At 38.3% G+C, this 25,637-nt stretch overlaps 1 long non-coding RNA gene across 1 annotated transcript in view; it reads left to right on the top strand.

Moving 5' to 3' along the window:
* Nucleotides 1–1,314: 1,314 nt before the first annotated feature.
* LOC105369477 (uncharacterized) overlaps nt 1,315–25,637 on the top strand; it is a 74,968-nt gene continuing 50,645 nt past the window's right edge. Inside the window, exon 1 of the long non-coding RNA XR_001748363.2 lies at nt 1,315–24,037. This is a non-coding gene — a long non-coding RNA (uncharacterized LOC105369477). The remainder of the gene's footprint in view (nt 24,038–25,637) is intronic.

The following is a 25,637-nucleotide window of genomic DNA, read 5'->3' as shown; positions in this document are numbered from 1 at the left end:
TAGTATTCCATGGTGTATATGTGCCACATTTTCTTAATCCACTCTATCATTGTTGGACATTTGGGGTGGTTCCAAGTCTTTGCTTTTGTGAGTAGTGCCACAATAAACATACGTGTGCATGTGTCTTTATAGCAGCATGATTTATAATCCTTTGGGTATATACCCAGTAATGAGATGGCTGGGTCAAATGGTATTTCTAGTTCTAGATCCTTGAGGAATCACCACACTGTCTTCCACAATGGTTGAACTAGTTTACAGTCCCACCAACAGTGTAAAAGTGTTCCTGTTTTTCCACATCCTCTCCAGCACCTGTTGTTTCCTGACTTTTTAATGATCACCATTCTAACTGGTGTGAGATGGTATCTCAATGTGGTTTTGATTTGCATTTCTCTGATGGCCAGTGATGATGAGCATTTTTTCATGTGTCTGTTGGCTACATAAATGTCTTCTTTTGAGAAGTGTCTGTTCATATCCTTTGCCCACTTTGTGACAGGGTTTTTTTTTTTTCTTGTAAATTTGTTTGAGTTCTTTGTAGATTCTGGATATTAGCCCTTTGTCAGATGGGTAGATTGCAAAAATTTTCTCCCATTCTGTACGTTGCCTGTTCACTCTGATGGTGGTTTCTTTTGCTGTGCAGAAGCTCTTTAGTTTAATTAGATCCCATTTGTCAATTTTGGCTTTTGTTGCCATTGCTTTTGGTGTTTTAGTCATGAAGTCCTTGCCCATGCCTATGTCCTGAATGGTATTGCTTAGGTTTTTTTCTAGTGTTTTTATGGTTTTAGGTCTAACATTTAAGTCTTTAATCCATGTTGAATTAATTTTTGTATAAGGTGTAAGGAAGGGATCCAGTTTCAGCTTTCTACATATGGCTAGCCAGCTTTCCCAGCACCATTTATTAAATAGGGAATCCCTTCCCCATTGCTTGTTTTTGTCAGGTTTGTCAAAGATCAGATGGTTGTAGATGTGTGGTATTATTTCTGAGGCCTCTGTTCTGTTCCATTGGTCTATATCTCTGTTTTGGTACCAGTACCATGCTGTTTTGGTTACTGTAGCCTTGTAGTATAGTTTGAAGTCAGATAACATGATGCCTCCAGCTTCATTTTTTTTACTTCGGATTGTCTTGGCAATGCAGGCCCTTTTTTGGTTCCATATGAACTTTAAAGTAGTTTTTTCCAATTCTCCGAAGAAAGTCATTGGTAGCTTGATGGGGATGGCACTGAATCTATAAATTACCTTGGGCAGTATGGCCATTTTCACGATGTTGATTCTTCCTGTCCATGAGCATGGAATGTTTCTCCGTTTGTCTGTGTCCTCTTTTATTTTGTTGAGCAGTGGTTCGTAGTTCTCCTTGAAGAGGTCCTTCACATCCTTGTAAGTTGTATTACTAGGTATATTATTCTCTTTGTATTAGTTGTGAATGTGAGTTCACTCATGATTTGACTCTGTCTGTTATTGGCATACAAGAATGCTTGTGATTTTTGCACATTGATTTTGTATCCTGAGACTTTGCTGAAGTTGCTTATCAGCTTAAGGAGATTTTGGGCTGAGATGATGGGGTTTTCTAAATATACAATCCTGTCATCTATAAACAGAGACAATTTGACTTCCTCTTTTTCCTAACTGAATACCATTTATTTCTTTATCTTGCCTGATTGCCCTGGCCAGAACTTCCAATACTATGTTGAATGGGAGTGGTGAGAGAGGGCATCCTTGTCTTGTGCCGGTTTTCAAAGGGAATGCTTCCAGTTTTTGCCCATTCAGTATGATACTGGCTGTGGGTTTGTCATAAATAGTTCTTATTATTTTGAGATATGTTTCATCAGTACCTAGTTTATTGAGAGTTTTTAGCATGAAGGGCTGTAGAATTTTGTCAAAGGTCTTTTCTGCATCTATTGAAATAATCGTGTGGGTTTTTTTGTTGGTTCTGTTTATTTGATGGATTATGTTTATTGATTTGCATATGTTGAACCAGCCTTGCATCCCAGGGATGAACCTGACCTGATTGTGGTGGATAAGCTTTTTGATGTGCTGCTGGATTTGGTTTGCGAGCATTTTATTGAGGATTTTCACATCGATATTCATAGGGATATTGGTCTAAAATTCTCTTTTTTTCTTGTGTCTCTGCCAGGCTTTGGTATCAGGATGATGTTGGCCTCATAAAATGAGTTAGGGAGGATTCCTCTTTTTCTATTGGTTGGAATAGTTTCAGAAGGAATGGTACCAGCTCCTCTTTGTACCTCTGGTAGAATTTGGCTGTGAATCTGTCTGGTCCTGGACTTTTTTTGGTTGGTAGGCTATTAATTATTGCCTCAATTTCAGAACCTGTTATTGGTCTATTCAGAGATTCAACTTCTTCCTAGTTTAGTCTTGGAAGGGTGTATGTGTCCAGGAATTTATCCATTTCTTCTAGATTTTCTAGTTTATTTGAGTAGAGGTATTTATAGTATTCTCTGATGGTAGTTTGTATTTCTGTGGGATCGGTGGTGATATCCCCTTTATCATTTTTTATTGTGTCTCTTTGATTCTTCTCTGTTTTCTTCTTTATTAGTCTTGCTAGCAGTCTTTCAATTTTGTTGAGCTTTTCAGAAAACCAGCTCCTGGATTCATTGAGTTTTTGAAGAGCCTTTTTTGTCTCTATCTCCTTCAGTTCGGCTCTGATCTTAGTTATTTCCTGCCTTCTGCTAGCTTTTGAATGTGTTTGCTCTTGCTTCTCTAGTTCTTTTAATTGTGACGTTAGGATGTTGATTTTTTATCTTTCCTGCTTTCTCTTATGGGCATTTATTGCTATAAATTTCCCTCAAAGCACTGCTTTAGCTGTGTCCCAGAGATTCTGGTACATTGTGTGTTTGTTCTCATTGGCTTCAAAGAACATCTTTATTTCTGCCTTCATTTCATTATTTACCCAGTAGCCATTCAGGACCACGTTGTTCAGTTTCCATGTAGTTGTGCGATTCTGGATGAGTTTCTTAATCCTCAGTTCTAGTTTGATTGCACTGTGGTCTGAGAGACAGTTTGTTGTGATTTATGTTCTTTTATATTTGCTGGGGAGTGCTTTACTTCCAAATATGTTGTCAATTTTAGAATAAGTGCGACATGGTGCTGAGAAGAATGTATATTTTGTTGATTTGGAGTGGAGAGTTCTGTAGATGTCTATTAGATCTGCTTGGTGCAGAGCTGAGTTCAAGTCTTAGATATTCTTGTTAACCTTCTGTCTCATTGATCTGTCTAATATTGACAGTGGGGTGTTAAAGTCTCCCATTATTATTGTGTGGGAGTCTAAGTCTCTGTGTAGGTCTCTAAGGACTTGCTTTATGAATCTGGGTGTTCCTGTATTGGGTGCATATATATTTAGGATAGTTAGCTCTTCTTGTTGAATTGATCCCTTTACCATTATGTAATGACCTTCTTTGTCTCTTTTGATCTTTCTTGGTTTAAAGTCTGTTTTATCAGAGACTGGGATTGCAACCCCTGCTTTTTTTTGTTTTGCATTTGCTTGGTAGATCTTCCTCCATCCCTTTATTTTGAGCCTATGTGTGTCTCTGCACGTGAGATGGGTCTCCTGAATACAGCACACTGATGGGTCTTGACTCTATCCAATTTGCCAGTCTGTCTTTTAATTGGGGCATTTAACCCATTTACATTTAAGGTTAATATTGTCATGTGTGAATTTAATCCTGTCATTTTGGTGTTAGCTGGTTATTTTGCCTGTTAATTGATGCAGTTTCTTCATAGCATCAATGGTGTTTACAATTTGGCATGTTTTTGCAGTGGCTGATACCAGTTGTTTCTTTCTGTGTTTAGTGCTTCCTTCAGGAGCTCTTGTAAGGCAGGCCTGGTGGTAACACAATCTCTCAGCATTTGCTTGTCTGTAAGTGATTTTATTTCTCCTTCACTTATGAAGCTTAGTTTGTCTGGATATGAAATTCTGGGTTGAAAGTTCTTTTCTTTAAGAATATTGAATATTGGCCCCCATTCTCTTCTGGTTTGTAGCATTTCTGACAAGAGATCTGCTGTTAGCCTGATGGGCTTCCCTTTGTGGGTAACCCGACCTTTCTTTCTGGCTGCACTTAACATTTTTTCCTTCATTTCAACCATGGTGAATCTGACAATTATGTGTCTTGGGGTTTCTCTTCTCGAGGAGTATCTTTGTGGTGTTCTCTGTGTTTCCTGAGTTTGAATGTTGGCCTGCCTTGTTAGGTTGGAAAGTTCTCCTGGATAATATCCTGAAGAGTTGTTTTCCAACTTGGTTCCATTCTCCCCATCACTTTCAGGTATGCCAATCAAACATAGATTTGGTCTTTTCACATAGTCCCATGTTTCTTGGAGGTTTTGTTCATTTCTTTTTACTCTTTTTTCTCTAACCTTGCCTTCTCGCTTTATTTCATTAATTTGATCTTCAATCACTGATACCCTTTCTTCCACTTGATGGAATTGGCTACTGAAGCTTGTACATGCGGGACGAAGTTCTCATGCCATGGTTTTCAGCTCCATCAGGTCATTTAAATTCTTCTCTACACTGTTTATTCTAGTTAGACATTTGTCTAACATTTTTTCAAGGTTTTTAGCTTCCTTGCGATGGGTTCAAACATGTTCCCTTTAGCTTGGAGAAGTTTGTTGTTACCGACCTTCTGAGGCCTACTTCTGTCAACTCAGCAAAGTCATTCTCCATCCAGCTTTGTTCTGTTGGCTGGCGAGGAGCTGCGATCCTTTGGAGGAGAAGAGGCGTTCTGATTTTTAGAATTTTCAGCTTTTCTGCTCTGGTTTCTCCCCATCTTTGTGGTTTTATCTACCTTTGGTCTTTGATGTTGGTGACCTACAGTTGGGGTTTTGTGTAGATGTCCTTTTTGTTGATGTTGATGCTATTCCTTTCTGTTTGTTAGTTTTCCCTCGGCTGCAGTTCTGTTGGAGTTTGCCGGAGACCCTGTTTGCCTGGGTATCATCAGCGGAAGCTGCTGAACAGCATATATTGCAGAACAGCAAATATTGCTGCTTGATCCTTCCTCTGGAATCTTTGTCCCAGAGGGGCACCCACCTATATGAGGTGTCTGTTGGCCCCTACTGGGAGGTGACTCCCAGTTAGGCTACACAGGGGTCAGGGACCCACTTGAGGAGGCAGTCTGTCTGTTCTTAGAGCTCAGATGCCATGTTGGGAGAACCACTGCTGTCTTCAGAGCTGTCAGCCAGGGAGGTTAAGTCTGCAGAAGTTGTCTGCTGCCTTGTGTTTAGTTAAGCCCTGCCCACAGAGGTGGAGTCTAGAGGCAGTAAGCCTTGCTGAGCTGCAGTGGGCTGCGCTTAGTTGAGCTTACTGGCTGCTTTGTTTACCTACTCAAGCCTCAGCAATGTCGGACGCCCCTCCCCCAGCCAGGCTGCCACTTTACAGTTCAATCTCACACTGCTGCGCTAGCAGTGAGCAAGGCTCTGTGGGCGTGGGACCCGCTGAGCCAGGCACGGGAGAGAATCTCTTTGTCTGCCTGTTGCTAAGACCTTGGGAAAAGTGCAGTATTTAGGTGGGAGTGTCCCGTTTTTCCAGGTACAGTCTGTCACAGCTTCCATTGGGTAGGAAAGGGAATTCCCCCTACCCCTTGCATTTCCTGGGTGAGGCGACACCCCGCCCTCCTTCCTCTTGCCCTCCTTGGGCTGCAACCACTGTCCAGCCAGTCCCAAAGAGATGAACCAGGTACCTCGGTTGGAAATGCAGAAATCACCCATCTTCTGTGTCAATCCCGCTGGGAGCTGCAGACCGGAGCTGTTCCTATTTGGTCATCTTGTTATATCTTATATATATATGTTTTTTAATTGCTTACCTACAAAAAAATATTCTTTGGAGAAATTATTCAAGTTCCTAAATGCAATTACCCTTGCTCTGTGTACAAATAAGCTTTAAAAAAATTTTTTTTTGCACATTATTGAATATTCATTTGTATACTCTGATAAATTGCAATTGAATTTAAAACATTATGTCTAGATAGGCTTTCCTAGACCCCCTCCATGTATAAAAGTGATGGAAGGACAGTGGTTTTCACTCATATACATGCACACACAATTTCACATATATGCATTTATCCATAAATATGCATATACACATACATTAAAATGTATAAAGCCTGGGCACAGTGGCTCATGCCTGTAATTCCAGCACTTTGGGAGGTTGAGGCAGGCGGATCACAAGCTCAGGAGATTGAGACCATCCTGGCTAACATGGTGAAACCCCGTCTCTACTAAAAAATACAAAAAAATTAGCCAGGCGTGGTGGTGGGTGCCTGTAGTCCCAGCTACTCAGGAGGCTGAGGCAGGAGAATGGCGTGAACCTGGGAGGTAGAGCTTGCAGTGAGCCAAGATCATGCCACTGCACTCCAGCCTGGGTGATAGAGCGAGACTCCATCTCAAAAAAAAAAAAAAAAAAAAAAATTAGGCAGATACTTCACAGAAGAAGTAAAAATGACTAATACATATAAAATTAGTTCTGTGTAATTGATCATCAAAAAAATTTTATGAAATACACATCAAACATTGACATCCCATTTTTTTCTTATTTAAGATTTTAAAATTACAGTCTTGCTGGTGAATGCATGATACACAAGCTTCTGGTGGAAGTATAACTTGGTACAACCTTTTGTAAAGCATTTTTGACATAAGGTATCAAAAGTCTTAAAATTATTTATAACCTTTGCTTCTCTATTTCGACTTCTTAGGGTCTAGCCAAGTAAAATCTTAATCAGATATAGTAAAAAAAATTGTATATAAAAATATTCATTATTCATTAATGTTTAGTATTGAAAACACCTAAAAATTTTGTAACAATAAGAAATTGATTAAATTAATTGGGGTACATTCATAATTTGAAATGCTATACAGCTATTAAAAACTTGAATTTTGAAGGTCTTAGCTACTTGAAAAAATTCTCGTTAAAAATTTGAACACACAAAGGCCATACCTGACAAACCCACAGCTAACATCATACTGAATGGGGAAAAGTTGAAAGCCTTTTCTCTAAGAACTGGAATAAGTCAGGATGCCTACTTTCACCACTCCTCTTCAACAAAGTAATAGAAGTCCTAGCCAGAGTAATCAGGCAAGAGAAAGAAGTAAAAGACATCCAAATTGGAAAAAAGAAAGTCATATTATCACTCTTTGCAGATGATGTAATCTTATATTTAGAAAAACCAAAAGACTTCACTAAAACATCTTAGAACTGAAAAACAAGTTAAGTAAAGTTGCAGTATACAAAATTAACATACAAAAATCAATCAGTATTGTTTCTGAACACCAATAATGACATAGCTGAAAAAGAAATCAAGAAGGCAATCACATTTACAATAGCTACAAAAAAATAAAAATACCTAGAAATAAATTTATCCAAGGAAGCAAAAGAGCTCTACAAGGAATACTACAAAACACTGATGAAAGAAATTGAAGAGGACACAAACAAATGGAAAGACATCCTATGCTCATGCATCAGAATAATTATTGTTGTTAAAATGACCATACTGCCCAAAGTGATCTACAGTGTGATCCCTATCAAAATACCAACATCATTTTTCACAAAAATAAAAAAATTCCTGGCCAGGTGCAGTGGCTCACCCCTGTAGTCCCAGCACTTTGGGAGGCCAAGGCAAGTCGATTGCCTGAGGTCAGGAGTTCAAGATCAGCCTGGCTAACATGGTGAAGCCCCATCTCTACTAAAAATACAAAAATTAGCCAGGTGTCATGGCAGGCGCCTGTCATCACAGCTACTGGGGAGGCTGAAGCAGGAGAATCACTGGAACCTGAGAGGCAGAGGTTACAGTGAGCCAAGATCCCACCACTGCACTCCAGGCTGGGCGGCAGAGTGAGTCGCCATCTCAAACAAAAACAAAAAAATAAAAATTAAAAAAAATTTAAAATTCCTAAAATGTGTATGGAACTAAAAAAGAGCCAGAATAGCCAAAGAAATCCTGAGCAAAAAGAACAGAGCTAGAGGGATCACACTACCTGACTTTAAAATATATTACAAGGCTCTATAGTAACCAAAACAGCATTGTATTGGTATAAAAAAAGAGACAAATAGACTAATGAAACAGAATAGAGAACCGGGGAATAAATCCACACATTTACAGCCAACTGACCTTTGACAAAGCCATCAAGTACATACGTTGGGGAAAGGACACCCTTTATAATAAAATGGTGCTGGGAAAACTGGATAACCATGTGTAGAAGAATGAAACAGGACCCCTATCTCTCTCTGTATATGAAAATCAACTCAAGATGGTTTAAAAGCTTAAACATAAGACCCAAAACTATAAACCTACTAGAAAATAACATAGGAAAAACTCTTCAGGACATAGGTCTAGACAAAGATTTTATGGCTAAGATCTCAAAATCACAGGCAAGAAAACCAAAAATAGACAAGTGGGACTATATTAAATTAAAAAGCTCTCCACAGCAAAAGAAACAATCAGTAGAATGAAGAGACAGCCTGTTGAATAAGAGAGAATATTTGCCTACTAATTTCACAGGGGACTCATATCCAGAATATACAAGAAACTCAAACAACTCAACAGGAAAAAGAAAAGAAAACCCAAATAATCCCATTAAAAATGGGGTAAGGACATGAATAGACAGATCTCAAAAGTAGACATACAGGTGGCCTACAGTTGTGTGAAAAAATGCTCAACATCACCAATCATCAGGGAAATGCAAATCGAAACCACAATGAGATATCCTCTTATCCCAGTTAGAATAGCTATTACTAAAAAGACAAAAATAACAAATGTTGGTGAGGATGTTGAGAAATGGGAAATCTTATACACTGTAGGTGGGAATGTAGATTAGTACAGCCTCTATGGAAAACAGTATGAAGATTTCTCAAAAAACTAAAAATAGAACTACCATGTACCCAGCAATTCCACTACTTGGTATTATCTAAAGCAAAATAAACTGCATGTCAAAGGGATACATGCAGTCTCATGTTTATTGCAGCACTATTCACTACAGAAAAGATATGGAATCAGCCCAAATGTCTCTCAGTGAATGAGTGGATAAAGAAAATATGGTATATATACACAATGGAATACTATTCGACCATAAAAAAGAATAAAATCATCATTTATAGCAACATGGATGGAACGGGAGGATATTATGTTAAGTGAAATCAGCAGGCACAGACATATTGCATATTATCATGTGGGAGCTAAAAAGTTGATCACGTGGAGGTAGACGGTGATCTACAAACATAGTTTGGTTAATGGGTACAAACATATAGTTAGATAGAAGAAATAAGTTCTAATGTTCAATAGCAGAGTAGGGTGACTATAGTTAACAACAATATATTGTATATTTCAAAGCAACCAAAAGAGAGGACTTGAAATGTACCCAACATGTAAAAGTGACAAACACTTGGGTGACAGATACCCTAAAGAGCCTGACTTGATCATCACACATTCTATGCATGCAACAAAATTTCACAAGTACCCCATAAATATATACAAACATAATGTATCAAAAAATTTTTTTAAATTGAAAAAATACAGAATACAGTTATGTACAGTGTACAATATAATACTAATTTTGGTCTCTATGTATATAATCAGAAAGATCAGAAGGGAAGGCAGCACAACTTCAACAGCGTTTATCTCTATGTGATGAATTATAGATTATATTATACCTTTCTGTAGTTTATAAGTTATTCAGTGTTTCTCATGTTTTACTGTATAATCACTAAGGAAGAATACACATTTTTCACAAAGCAAACTCAGAGGCACCTAAGATATACTGAAAAGTATAGACTCCCCAATTTATAATGGTTCGACTTATAATTTTTCAACTTTATGATGGTATAAAAGTAATATGCATTCAGTAGGACATCAATAAATTACATGAGATGTTTAACACTTCATTATGAAATAGGCTTTATGGGCCAGGCGCAGTGGCTCACACCTGTAATCCCAGCACTTAGAGAGGCCGACACAGGCAGATCACCTGAAGTGAGGAATTTGAGACCAGCATGGCCGACATGGTGAAACCCAATCTCTACTAAAAATACAAAAATTAGCTGGTCGTGGGTGGCACGTGCCTGTAATCCCTGCTATTGGGGAGGCTGAGGCAGGAGAATTGCTTGAATCCAGGAGACAGAGGTTGCAGTGAGTTGAGATCGTGCCATTGCACTCCAGCCTGGATGACAAGAGTGAAACTCCATCTCAAAACAACAAAAACAACAAACAAAAAATAAAATAGGCTTTGTGTTGGATGATTTTGCCCAACTGTTGGCTAATGTAAGTGTTCTGAGCACATTTAATGTAGGCTAGGCTAAGCTATGATGTTTGGTAAATTCAATGTATTAAGTTCATTTTCCACTTACTGATATACTAAAATTACAATGGGTTTATTGAGATGTAACCCCATCATAAATCAAGGAGCATCTGTATTTGAGGAGTCAGCAAGCAAGGACTTAAGCCAGTCAGCTCAGTGGTCCAGAGTAAGTTTCTCTTCTGGGCCTGATATTCTTATCTAGAAAACAGCCATGGTAATTATACAGTTGTAATGTAAATTAAATTTAGGAAATGAGCCTTGCATACACTATGCATTCAATTATAGGACATTTCCCTATAACAACAAAGTTTAAAATTTGGTTGTATTTTTTTGTCTGTCTTTTCCCCCTCATATAATATAGATAATAGTTTGCAAATACTTTTGTACTCCTGAATATAATCTTGCATCTTCAAACATAAGGGAAACATTTATTGGAATGTTATAAAACCTCAATTTTGTAGTATTCTTTGTGTTCTCTTGGTTTTAATGGCTTGTCTATAAAAAATTACTCATTCATGCAGAAATTATTGTTTCTTACATGGAAAGAAGCATTGGAGAATGAAATGATAAATAAGATATATTTGCTGTCATAAAGGATATTTCACTCATACAACCAACAAATACACAAATGTATTAGGTTCCATAGGGAGAATGGGAGAATAATACAGTTTTGGAGTCCAGAAATTACTTATATCTTACACAAAGATTATTCATCTCAATTTAAAATGACAGTCACCAAATTTATGCAAAAGTTTTCTGTGAATACTGGAGCTAAGAAAGAAAGTTAATGGTTTGGTCTTTGCAATTGGGCTTACTTCTATTTGCTATAGTTTATTAATTAAGAGTAAAGTCAACTTAGCAAATATTTACTTAGTACCCATTATAAGCAACAAACTGTGTGGGCAAGAGTGGAAATGTGAAGAAAATGGACTTTTTATCTTCAAGGAGATTAAAGTTTTAGGAAGTTCAACTATGAAAAACTTAATCACGTTAAAATATTTATTTACTATTTTAAAACAGCTAAATAACTTGCATACCATGTCAAAAGGATCTCAGGGGAATGAGAGGTAGTTCAAAACTTCACTCATTGGAAAATTGGAACTTCAAATGAGTCAATGAATAGGATTAGACCAGACAGAGAGTTGCTGGGTATGATGTACTGGTTGGGTGAAACAGTGTGAGAAAAAGTGCAAAGGTAGACTATATACAAGGCACGTTTAGTGAACAACAAGTAAAGTATGTACAAAAGTCATTTGAAGGATTTTCAGGAGATAAGAATATCTTGAAATAGTTGGGGCAAATTTTTAAAAGTCTCAGAAGTCTAAGTAATTATGGCTTATTCCTATCAATATTGTGGCATTAGTGCAGACTTTTTTTTAAAAGATATTGTCTACTTGAAGTAGTGTGTTAGGAAATTAATCTGGAAGGAAGTATGTAAAATTCAAGAAGGTCATTTAGAAGGTCTTGTAGTCACATTGTTATAATGAAATAAAGGCCAGAATAAGTGTTGCAATATTTATCAAACATTCCACAGACTTGCCAATGTAAAGATGAAAAAGCAATTGCTGGGTGTGGTGGCTCATACCTGTAATCCCAGCATTTTGGGGGCTGAGGCGGGTGGATTGTCTAAGCTCAGGAGTTGGAGAACAGCCTGGACAACATGGTGAAACCCTGTCTCTACTAAAAATACAAAAAAATTAGCCAGGCATGGTGGCACGAGCCTGTAATCCCTGCTACTGGGGCGGCTGAGGCACAAGAATCACTTAAACCCGGGAGGCAGAGGTTGCGGTGAGCTGAGATAGGGCCACTGCACTCCAGCCTAGGCGACAGAGACAGACTCTGTCTCCAAAAAAAAAAAAAAAAAAAAAATGAAGGAACAATGTTACTAAAGTAATAAAAAAGAAGCCTGGGCAACATAGTGAGATCTCATGTCTACAAAAAAAAGAAAAAAAGAATTACCTGGGCTTGATGATGCACCCTGTAGTCCTGGCTACTCAGGAGGCCAAGGTAGGAGGACTACTTAAGCCCAGGAAGTCAAGGCTGCAGTGAGCTGTGGTTGCGCCATGGTACTCCAGCCTGGGCAACAGACCGAGACCCTGCCTAGAAAAGAAAAAGAAAAGAAAAGAGTTACAGCACTTTTTCAGAGATACTTATCTGTGCATTTTCTCTGATAAATGCAAAATTTTCTCTGTCCAGGTAGGGAGAAATTGGAGCAGGCTTCTTCGTATGGTTTTCTTTTCTTTTTCTTTTTTTTCTTTTTTTGAGACAGTCTTGTCTGTCTCCAGGCTGCAGTGCAGTGGCTTGATCTCCACTCACTGCAGCCTCCACCTCCCGGATTCAAGCGATTCTCCTGCCTCAGCCTCCTGAGTAGCTGGGACTACAGGCACGTGCCATCACGCCCGGCTAATTTTTGTATTTTTAGTAGAGATGAGTTTCACCAAGTTAGCCAGGATGGTCTCTATCTCCTGACCTCATGATCTGCCCGCCTTGGCCTCCCAAAGTGCTGGGATCACAGGCATGAGCCACTGTGCCTGGCCCGTATGGTTTTCTTAAGGAGTAGCAATTAAATGAAATGAAATCTCTTACATTACTTTCTTTTATCATTTGTATTTTGTATTATTAAAATGGGCCAGTTTATAATGCTTGAGAAAGAATCCATGAACTATTGACCTAAACTAAACTGTAGAGTCAGCTTTTGGAAAGAAAAAGTTGATCTCTTCCCTGAGTTAAACATTCTTAGAAGTTCTTGGTCTTTTAAACATCTTTATAAAAATTGATAAAACTGGAATCTTTTAGCAGTAACTTTCATATATCATAATCTCTGCTAGTAAAAAGGATATTTTTTCATGATTTATTGGTATCTGTCAACTTCAGAATCATCATCTAGGATTTATCTCTATGAAATATGCAGTTACAGAATTTATTGCATAGTTAATATTTTCCATCAATCTTGCCTTTCAAATTGGAAGTCTCCATTAAAACATATTTTAATGATAGTAAGACATGCCAACCTTTCTATCAGTTTTTTATATGTACTGAATATTAAGGTGTTGTTCATCATTTACACAATGATCATATTTCATTACAATTACTATCATTTAGTTCAACTCGATGTCAGACTGCCCACTGGATGCTGTATACAAATCAACCACTGAATAGAGTTGGATTTATTTTAGGCTTTTAAATGAAAGCATTGTCGCAACTCACTTTAATTTATTTGATTTTTCCACTAATCTATGAAGTCCTATTTGGAAACATCGTGGTATAACGTAAAGAACATTGAGTATGGAGTGGTGTAGTAATATATTCATAATTATGTGGCTTTATGTACGTTATTTAAATGCCCTCGTGTATGTATTATGAGGCAGGCACAGTGCAAGGCTCTGGGAATGGTACACAAAGATGATAGAACTTTGCTTGAAGATGTGTCAAGTTTAATGATAGTGGAGAGTGGAGGTATAGCAAGTAAGATCTCAGAAAGCTATTGAAATTACATTAGATAACGTGTATCCAGTGCACAGACCAACAAAGACAAGGTTGTTACTATTGGTTCTCTCTTTACAAATGTTACCTATTTGGCTTCTTTATAGCAGACCCGATTTTATATAGTGATAATTTGGTAGAATTCCAAATTGCATTGGTAAGTGGAGTTTTACTGGACACAAAATCTTATTTAGGTCAAGGTTTGAGTCTGAGCTATTGTTTTTTTTTTTGAGGCGGAGTCTCGCTCCTTCGCCCAGGCTGGAGTGCAGTGGCGCTATCTCGGCTCACTGCAAGCTCCGCCTCCCGGGTTCACGCCATTCTCCTGCCTCAGCCTGCCGAGTAGCTGGGACTACAGGCGCCTGCTACCGCGCCCGGCTAATTTTTTGTATTTTTAGTAGAGACGGGTTTTCACTGCGTTAGCCAGGATGGTCTCCATCTCCTGACCTCGTGATCCACCCGCCTCGGCCTCCCAAAGTGCTGGGATTACAAGCGTGAGCCACCGCGCCTGGCCCTGAGCTATTGTATCTATGCATTCTCCTTAATATGCAGTTTGAGTTTCACTGAAGAGAAGGAATTTTTCAAATATCTACTAGAATTTCTTGCTTACTTGAATTTAACAAATTAATCATCTGCTTTTCTTTTGAATGTAACTCAAGGGAATGTGGAACAGGCATCCTTGAGATGTATTAAATTATTAGCTGGCATAATTTTTGAGAATGCCTATACAGCTATACAAGGTGTTCATAATACTCAAAGGATCTTAATTTTCTTGTAAGTAGGAAATAAACTGCCCATGTTTTTAGACCTTAATATTTTAAACTCTTTACGGTCTAAATTTCATCTCAAATACTCTAAATGAAAACCAAATGGGCCACTGGCAAATCAAGATGAAGGAATTTGAATGCCCCATGGTATGCTATTAGAAGATGAAGACTATTTTTTCTCAAGGGGTTTACTGTAATTTAATATTATGAGGTATTCTTTGAATTCAAAGACCTGCCCCCAGTAAGGCATAAGATATGAATAGCAAACCTCACTACTTATTTATCTGGCACTTGAACTCAAAATGTGCCTGGGTCCCAAAGGAGCTAGACATATATAAATACAAAATATAGCCATGATTATATTAATAAACATTCATATTATTAATATAAGCAGTCATTTATATTAATAAGCATTCATATTTATTAATATAAACATGGCTATATTTAATGCAATTTGTGATAGTCAAGTTTATTCAGTGAAAGAAAAACATGGAATAAATATTTGTGCTTATTTAAGTTTTATCTACCATAATTACTTATACATCTCCCCTTTTAGAACCAATATTCTGCCTTTTAAATTATGATAATTGAACACAATCATGCAATCCTCCCACCTCTGTCTCCTGAGTAGCTGGGACTACAGGCACAGGCCAACCACACCTGGCTAATATTTAAAAAAAAAATTTTTTTTGTAGATATGAGGTCTTGCTGTGTTGCTCAGGCTGGTCTCAAAACGCCTGGGCTCAAGCGATGCCCCTGCCTGGGCCTCTCAAAGTGCTGGGATTACAGGTATAAGCCGCTGCACCTGGCCCTAGCAACATCTTAAGGGTTGATCTTCTGAAATCTTTATAACATCAGGTAAAAAGCAGATAAGAGTGGGATTACCTGCACTTTTTGTGCTGAGCATTCAGTTCCCCTCTCTAGAAGAGTATCACTAGGATTTACAATTTTTGTAAAACATAACCGGTGTATTGCTATACAAACCAGTAACTTGTCAAGGGAAATATCTGATAGGTGTTTCCTTAACAAAATGATCAAACTTAGCATTTCCAACAGGATGAGATAAAATATCCTTTTTTGCCTTTGAATGTGATACATGAGAAGCTCACAACATCACCTATATAATATTCTGGAATTTTAAAAAAATGGAATCTACTCATCAGAAAACAATGCACATTGTAAGACATAGTGTAAAACAGGTAGCCCTTACTCTTCAAAAATGTCATTGACATAAAAGACACAAAGGGCTGGTGAACTGATTCGATTAGGGAAAACTAAAGAAATATGACAACTCAATTCAATGTGTGACTTTGGATTAATTCTTAGATAAGAAAAAGAAAACAAAAAAGCTATAAAAAGTACATTATTGAAACAGTTGGGAAAATTTGAACATGGACTTTATCTTAGATACTAGGTTTAAAAAAAAAAATCAGTGTTAAATTTCCTGAGTGTGATCATTGTATTGTGGTTAGGTAGGTATGTAAGATAATACTTTTTTCCTTTGGAGACACATGCTGAAGTATTTAGGGTTGAAGTGTCAAAGTCTGCAAGTAACTCTCAAATGGTTGAGAGAGAGAGAAGAAAATATGTATATCTATATATATAAAGATAAAACAAATGAGATGAAATGCTAAAACTGGCAAATTTAGGGGAACAGCAAACAGATGTTCAATGTATTATTCTTCTGACACTTATGAATGTGTAAAATTTTTCCAAATAAAAAATTTGCAAAATGCATATACAAACCAGAGAAAATGAGATTGAGTACACAACATAAAGTAGTGTGAATTTGGTTGTTATTAATCATATGCTTAATTCTCATTTTAATAAGACATATATATGTATATATATACATATATACACACACATGTATATATACATATATACACACACGTATATATATACATATATACACACACGTATATATATACACATATACACACACGTATATATACACATATACACACACGTATATATACATATATACACACACGTATATATACATATATATACACACATGTATATATATACATATATATATATACACATGTATATATATATATATTTTTTGAAACAGTTTCACTCTGTATCCAGGGTGGAGTGTAATGGCACGATCATGGCTCACTGCAGCCTTGATCTCCTGGCTCAAGCAATCCTCCCATCTCAGCCTCCCAAGTAGCTGGTACTACAGGTGCACACCACCATACCCGGCTATTTTTTTTTTTTTTTGGTAGAGATAGGGGTCTCTCTATGTTGCCCAGGCTGGCCTAGAACTCTTGAGCTCAAGCCATCTTCCTGCCTTGGCCTCCCAAAGTGCTAGCATCACAGCCATGAGCCACCATGCCTGGGCAAGAGATATTTTTAAATGTCATATTTTTAAACTGGATGAAAGTCATTGATAATATAACCTACTTACAGATATAATTCAAAGAGTCAATATAATGCCCTCACTGTAACATACAAGAGAAGAAAAGATAATATTCTTCAATAGTCTAATTCTCGGGCACAACTACACTATTAGACTGCCCCCACACATTTCCAGAATTTCCCCTAGAGGGTGGTACTGTCCCTGTAGTGAACAACTGGATTAACTGCTAGTGTAGCAGGGATATTACCCTGAGACATCAGAGATTACAACATGACCATGTGCATTTGCTGAATGGGTAAGAAGGCCCATGGAATATCAATCTGTATCTATTAATTGCCTGAGGGTTTTGAGGTTTTGGTTATACACTGAGGGATTATTAGGGGGTGAATGAGTTACAGATGAAGTATGGAAAGGGCTGCAGGCTGTCTTGGTTCCCATAGACTTTGTTTAAACTCCGTAGAGGAATGAAGTCCTGGGTAAAAGCTGAAAAATCTGGGTTTTTTTTCCTAGGGGTTCAGAAGGAGATGTAGACACCAATATGTTGTTTCTTGATATGCTGATAACACAGCTGAATGCAATTTATTTTGTCTATGTTGGTTTCTTAAAATTATGCAATGAAGGAAATGTTTTCCCATGCCCTGGATGAAACTTGGCAGCTCATAGCTTTTCTGATTACTATTACTGTTACCTAATAGTGGGTAACTCTAAGTTGCCGTGATTCAGTAAGTGATTAATAAAATGTTCAGTCTCAAATTCAGGAAAGTCTCAGGATACAAAATCAATGTGCAAAAATCAAAAGCATTCTTATACACCAGTGACAGACAAACAGAGAGCCAAATCATGAGTGAACTCCCATTCACAATTGCTTCAAAGAGAATTAAATACCTAGGAATCCAACTTACAAGGGATGTGAAGGACCTCTTCAAGGAGAACTACAAATCACTGCTCAATGAAATAAGAGGATACAAACAAATGGAAGAACATTCCATGCTCATGGGTAGGAAGAATCAATATCGTGAAAATCGCCATACTGCCCAAGGTAATTTATAGATTCAATGTCATCCCCATCAGGCTACCAATGACTTTCTTCACAGAATTGGAAAAAACTATTTTGAAGTTCATATGGAACCAAAAGAGAACCTGCATTGCCAAGTCAATCCTAAGCCAAAAGAACAAAGCTGGAGGCATCACACTACCTGACTTCAAACTATACTACAAGGCTACAGTAACCAAAACAGCATGGTACTGGTACCAAAACAGAGATATAGACCGATGGAACAGAACAGAGCCCTCAGAAATAATGCCACACATCTACAACCATCTGATCTTTGACAAACCTGACAAAAACAAGAAATGGGGAAAGGATTCCCTATTTAATAAATGGTGCTGGGAAAACTGGCTAGCCATATGTAGAAAGCTGAAACTGAATCCCTTCCTTACACCTTATACAAAAATTAATTCAAGATGGATTAAAGACTTAAATATTAGACCTAAAACCATAAAAACCCTAGAAGAAAACCTAGGCAATACTATTCAGGACATAGGCATGGACAAGGACTTCATGACTAAAACACCAAAAGCAATGGCAACAAAAGCCAAAGTTGACAAATGGGATCTAATTAAACTAAAGAGCTTCTGCAGAGCAAAAGAAACTACCATCAGAGTCAACAGGCAACCTACAGTATGGGAAAACATTTTTGCAGTCTACTCATCTGACAAAGGGCTAATATCCAGAATCTACAAAGAACTCAAACAAATTTACAAGAAAAAAAACAAACAACCCCATCAACAAGTGGGCGAAGGATATGAACAGACACTTCTCAAAAGAAGACATTTATGCAGCCAAAAGATACATGAAAAAATGCTCATCATCACTGGCCATCAGAGAAATTCAAATCAAAACCACAATGAGATACCATCTCACACCAGTTAGAATGGCGATCATTAAAAAGTCAGGAAACAACAGGTGCTGGAGAGGATGTGGAGAGATAGGAACACTTTTACACTGTTGGTAGGACTGTAAACTAGTTCAACCATTGTGGAAGTCAGTGTGGTGATTCCTCAAGGATCTAGAACTAGAAATACCATTTGACCCAGCCATCCCATTACTGGGTGTATACCCAAAGGATTGTAAATCATGCTGCTATAAAGACACATGCACACATGTGTTTACTGCAGCACTATTCACAATAGCAAAGACTTGGAACCACCCCAAATGTCCAACAATGATAGAGTGGATTAAGAAAATGTGGCACATATACACCATGGAATACTATGCAGCCATAAAAAATGATGAGTTCATGTCGTTTGTAGGGACATGGATGAAGCTGGAAACCATCATTCTCAGCAAACTATCGCAAGGACAAAAAACCAAACTCCGCGTGTTCTCACTCATAGGTGGGAATTGAACAATGAGAACACTTGGACACAGAAGGGGAACATCACACACCGGGGCCTCTTGTGGGGTGGGGGTAGGGGGTAGGGATAGCATTAGGGGATATACCTAATGTAAATGATGAGTTAATGGGTGCAGCACACCAACATGGCACATGTATACATATGTAACAAACCTGCACGTTGTGCATATGTACCCTAAAACTTAAAGTACAATAAAAATAAATAAATGTTCAGTCCAATATATTAGGAAATGCTTCATTCCGAGGTAAATACTTCTGTTCCCTTCCAATTCTTCGGTTAGAGCCTATAGTGGGCAGTTCCCTACCCTCTCTGGAAGAGGGTGTGGTTGACTTTTTTCTTTTTCATTGCCCTACCTCTTTCCACTAGCTACCCATATTTCTGACTGCTCCAGAGGGAATTACAACTTGGAGTGGAAATGCAGAAAAGAGGCGAGAGAGTGTCATTGAATAGGTCTTCAGATGACCTTAGTCTCTCTGGGTCCAGCAGATGTTGAAAGTGGACCATCCTGTGGCTGTTCTCATGGCACTCTGGAGGTTCCCTGCTGGTCTCACTGAAAGTTCTCTACAGGCTAGAGGTGAAAGAGGTAGAGTTGGGCTTTTGCCCTTTCCGTTTGGGGAACGGGTGGTTCTCACAGCACTCAGTGGCTTTCTCCAAATAAATATTTTTACGAATCCTCTCTGACTTTCCACTGCCTTGATTCTTTTATATCCTTGATGTGTCCTTAGAGTTGTCTAACTTTCTTTCAAAGTACACAACTCGTACTTTACTTTAGAGTTTTATGTATTTTATGATGGAGCCTCAGTGGAAACTCCCAATTTAACATTTCATTTTCCTTAAATTCCTGGGTAACAGTGCAGCAGTGCGAAGAAGCTAGAGGTGGTGAAGTCAAATTTAAATTTGATTTTAGATTTTATGACTAGCTTTGTGATTGTGGACAAGTCACTTAGCCTATTTTTTAAAATGAAAGTAACGTATATCACTAGGATTGATGTGGGATACAAACAGGGTACCCTGTAAATCATTAAAGCTTGATCATAGTAAGTGCTCAGTAACTTGTAGTTACTACTGTTATCTTTCCCTTTTCTGTGAAGAACAATCTAACACCTTCAGAGCTGGCAGATTTAGGAGATGAGAAGAAATTTCCTTGGAATGGATATCAGTATTCTTATGGAAGGCACCCATACTGTAGCAATGGTGAAACACTCTGTGGCTTCACAGGTAGTGGACATGAACCCAGGAACAAGAGTAGTAGAGGTGACAGGATCGACTATGAGTATCTGAGATATAACCAGGTGAGACTTTGTGGGAGCAAAGTCCTGCATGACCCTGCTGTGGAAAGTTCCAGTGAAATCTGTGTTATTACTGATACCATGAGCCCATCATCCCCACAGCCAGTGGTTCAAAGTGAAGAGAAGAGCGTATCAGATTTCATAAGATGTAGAATTATGTTTTCTCTTCTTAAGGGAGAAACACTAAAATGGTTGGAATGCTTTCAGTTGCAAGCAGAAGACTACCTAAGAGTGAAATAAAGATTTTTAATTATCTAACATAACAAGAAGTATAGGCAACTGTTTGTGTTGGTATGCTGACTGCATTATGGTAAGGCCAGCCTCTCTGCGATTCTTTTAGCCTTCCGTCTTGATCACAAAATGTTTTCTGCCTTTCCAGGCATCAGGTCTTCATCAAAAGCAGGAATAAGTGGGAAGAGTTGGTGTCAATCACGTATGTGCTTTTGTCAAGAAAGTTCAAGTTTTCTAGAACCACCCCCTACCCTACCGAGACCTCTGTGTGTTTGCATCTTACTTATCAGGGTGGTGTCACGAGGCCACAACCACTAGCTGTAAGGGAGGTTGGGAAAGCCTCTCTGGTGGAGTTGGGTGAGAGTGAAGGAGTTTGGAACGGGGTTGTGTTCATCAACGGACAGAGTCTGCCACAGATGCCATCATCTTTTTGGGTGTGAACATCATTCTGGATACTTCAGAAAACCCAAACCCCAGCAAATCCAGACAAGCTCCAGAAATGCTCCCACAACTTAGAGTAATATGGGTAAGAATGATGAAAAGAAAATCAATATGGAATTACAGGTTAGAAATTCCAGAAGAAAAGACTGAGGCAGATGGAGGAGAAGGAACAATCAGTTAAATAGTGACACAGGCTCCCTGAACTGAGGATAGATTATCAGGTCAAAGCAGCTCGCCGCATTTGAGGTAAAATTAATGAGTATTAGCTCATAGTTGACACTGTTGAATTTCAAATTTTAAGAAGAAAAAAAGTCTCATATCCATCCTGAGGAAAGTATGTTATCAACACAAGAAGAAAAATCATGTAGGCATCTGATTTCTCCACAATATTAACAGTTAGAAAATGGAAACAATGGCTGCAGATTTTTGAGGGAAAATTATTGACTTAATAATTTCTGAACTCAAAGAAGACTTCACAAATAATTTTCACACATGCACAGCTTTTAACTACTTCACTCATATACTTTCATGAAAAAATTACTCCCCCAATTTTTTAGGTTAAAAAGGAAATGCACCAAAAATAAACAATGAAATATATAATAGAAAAGAAGTGGCTGGGTGCAGTGGCTCACGGATGCAATCCCAGGACTTTGGGAGGCTGAGGAAGGTGGATCACCTGAGGTCAGGAGTTCGAGACCAGCCTGGCCAACATGGTGAAATCCCATCTCTGCTAAAAATACAAAAATTAGCTGGGGGTGGTGGCGTGCACATGTAATCTCAGCTACTCTGGAGGCTGAGGCAGGAGAATCGCTTGAACGCGGGAGGTGGAGGTTGCAGTGAGCTGAGATCGGACCATTGCACTCCAGCCTGGGTAGCAGAGTAAGACTGAGTGGCAGAGCAAGACTCTGTCTCAAAAAAAAAAAAAAAAAAAAAAAAGGTATTATTAAGCAACAAAGTCACTGAAAGTTTATGTCTAAGTAACTGTTTTGGCTTTGAAACTCTTATGACTTAAATATTCTCTAACTAGAAAATACATAAAATAATATAGATTAATATCTGAGATATTTAAAAGAAAAATTGTGAAATGTGGAGAGGGAGGATGGAAAAGGGAGGGAATGAACCAGCTAAATTTTTCATCTTTCACCAGTTAAAAGACAAATAATGGAATAAAATTATTAATGTGGTATTAATAGACTCTTTCCCCCAGCCCACATGAGAAAATGTTATCTTGCTTGCCAGACTTTCCCCTGCCTTATGTTACTGCCAAACTAGTTCCTGTGTTTTGGTCACATATAATTGGAAGATGCACAGAAAAGGATGTGTCCAGAGATGCTGAAGGAGGAGGTTATAGATTGGGAGAAATGAGGGAGATAGGAAAAGTCAAAAGTTTCCCAGAATGGAGTGGATCAATTTGAGGGCTTTTCTCCCCCTTTGGGGTTTGAGTTGGTGAATAAGAAGCACAAGAGGGTGTGGGAGAAAGCTGAATAGGAGAGGAAAGGAGATTCAAGATGTGTTCATGGGGGTTATGCATCAGAACCTCTTTACATCCTTTGAAAGATGAAAGTAGAACATGCAACTCCTTTCTTAAGACTCTGTTGAGTCTTAAAACAGTTAACATTCTGATGAACTTTGCTAAATTTATGATGCTGTGCAGAGAAGGAACCATAAAGATGACAGCTTCAATAGGGTTACACCTGGAGGATTTGTCTAAAATTGTGGACGGAAAGCACAGCTTTCAGCTGAAATTTTAGAATAAAACCATTGCTTTGTCACTGGAGTCAAGAGTACGTTATTACCAGACTTTACAATAATAGTGGCAAGGAGAGAAGCTCCAATAGCAGCTGGGATAACACCAGACATGTCCTGGTGGATGTGCTGAAATCTGAGTTGTAAATGATGTCTCATGGGGAGTGGATGTGCCAGCTGCAGAACTAAACTTATATGGTGCTATGCAACTTCACTAAATTTAGAAACTCTGAAGGAATCTTTTGCAACATAGTGCAATGAAAATTATGTTTTACTGCAGTTCCACAGATCCCCAGTTTCTCAAGCGGTTAGACCTCTGCAAATCCTCAGAGGAAGCCAAAGCCAGATCTGGATAACTCAGACCTTGGCTGACCAATCCCTCATGCCAGAACTGGGTCCCATGGGGACATGGTGATGGCCAGATAGACTGAATTTTAGAATCACCTATAGGCTGTTTTCCAGAAATGGAAAGTAATGTGTCAGAGACTGAAGAAAATCACTTTACATTATGGTTAGACAAAGTTCACAGATGAACAGGATTTAGCATCAGAGAGATGTTTCCAGCCTAAAGTTTCTTAGGATCTAAAGAACTGAGCTTTATGTACAGGGTGAATCAGAGACAGTGACCATTGAGTGGTGTTTGCCAAACTCAGTGTGGTACAGAGACGGGCCACATGAGTCATCATTTCAATAGGGTGGCAGACATTTTTATTTGGGATGTTAGGAAGTGTATGTTCAATGATTTTTAAAATATTAAGTATAAGATAAAAATGCTAGTAGAGTCATTCTCACTAACTCTGTTAGAAAATTCCTGGAGTAAATTTTGGTTTGGTTGGTTCTCTCTAAAGATTAATACCCACTGGGGTCACCACCAGAAGAAACCAGAGAATGAAAACAGCACCTACTAATGCCAGGAAGGCAGAGCCCAAATAAGAAAACACTCCATGTGGAGTGAAAGCTGCAGGATGCTCTTTTTACCTCCCATCTATGTGATTTGGTCAGCCTTACAAGTAAGTGGGTACCAAGTGGTAACTACATGAAAGAGAACAAATAGAATATTTGGGGTGACCAATAATGCTTAAAATGTTACATGTTGTCAGTTATAATTTGCATTAATGTTTCCTCCTATTTAATATATATTGATAGAAACTGTAATAGGAAATTCTAAAAATGGGATAAAATAGAACCACAATATGAAATTCTAAAATTAGAATTTTAAAATGAAATTTTAAAAATTCTGAAAAATGGCTTTGAGGGTGCAATCACCAGTTTCATGTAGCGTTAAGCACACAAGCTTTGACGAGCTATAAGATCTGGGAAAGCACACCTCTCTGAGCCTCAATTTCCTCATGTGTGAACTGGAGATAATAATGCTTACGTTATATGGTGCTCAATCAAGGTGGTGTGTGTATAATACATATCGTAGAACAAAGTGCTTAGAAAATTATATTCTAATACAATGGTATTATTATTGTAAGTATTGTATTTTGTGGTATATAGTACAGCTGACGACATTGATTGTATACTAAAGGAGAGTTTACAAGCTAAAAAATCTATTATATTTTCTCCCAAAGAAAAGATTGGGGGATAGTAATACTCTTGGAGAGATGAAGAAAGAGTGGGCAGATGGAAGGTGCAGGTATGGATTGGTGATGATCCTGACCAGCCAGAGATTTATACATGTAAACTTGGAGAAGATGGGCCTGGAACTGCAATTTGGAGGAGGAGTGCTCTTTGGTGGAGAGGAGTTGTGAATGTCAGTGTGTGCCTAACAGTAGGAAACTGAGGAGAGAGGATGATATTTGGTCTAGAAGTGTTCAAGCAAGAGAGAAGAGTGAGTGGCAGACTTGAAAACCCTCTCTGTGAAACTCAGCTAGTCTCCCTGCATGTGCACTGTGGCATTCTCGTTGTTCAGGTCTCATCATCTCTGGCTCTGACTTTCCCTTGCTTGGGGTCCCACACACTTTGGCAGACCCTCAGGTGGACTCTCACACGAATCCCAGGTGTATTCCAGACACTGTTTTCTCATAAGTCCAGTCTCTACTTTTAGTCTCTCGGGTATTGGCCACAGTTTCTGGTCTGCCTAGAATTTCTCAGCATGGCTATGCGTGTCCTCATTATACACATTACTTTAGGGTGTGTAAGTGTGTAGACATTTGACATGCATGGATATGCACATATACATTATTTTGGTGGAGGATATAAGGAGTTTGCAGTATGTGCCCAGTTCTCTATTTTGAAACTGAGAGTCCTTTAATTTAGATGCCTTTTCTATTATACTGGGGAAAATGATAAAGTAAAACAAGTGGAATGGAGGAGCGGATAGGGCAGAAAATAAGTAGGTGCATCACAGTAAGTGAACTGAAGAGTTCCCACTTCTATCAGTGGTCTCACAAAGAGGTGGTTTTATTCTTAATAAAGCAGCATTTTATCATTATAAAGAATCATAGAATATCAAGTTATTTAACAAAATCTTCCTCACCTGCCATAGAACTCTGAGTACAAGTTCATATTTTCATTCAAATAATTCTGCTTTTTCACGAGGTGGGGCAGAACCCCACAAATCAATTTCCCTAAGTGGCTGAAGTTAAGAGAGAAAGTTTTTCTAAG

Source organism: Homo sapiens, chromosome 11 (genome assembly GCF_000001405.40).
Source record: "Homo sapiens chromosome 11, GRCh38.p14 Primary Assembly".
Classification (NCBI taxonomy): Eukaryota; Metazoa; Chordata; class Mammalia; order Primates; family Hominidae; genus Homo; species Homo sapiens.
Note: the sequence above shows the minus strand (reverse complement) of the source record. Positions and strands in the feature narration are given on the sequence as shown.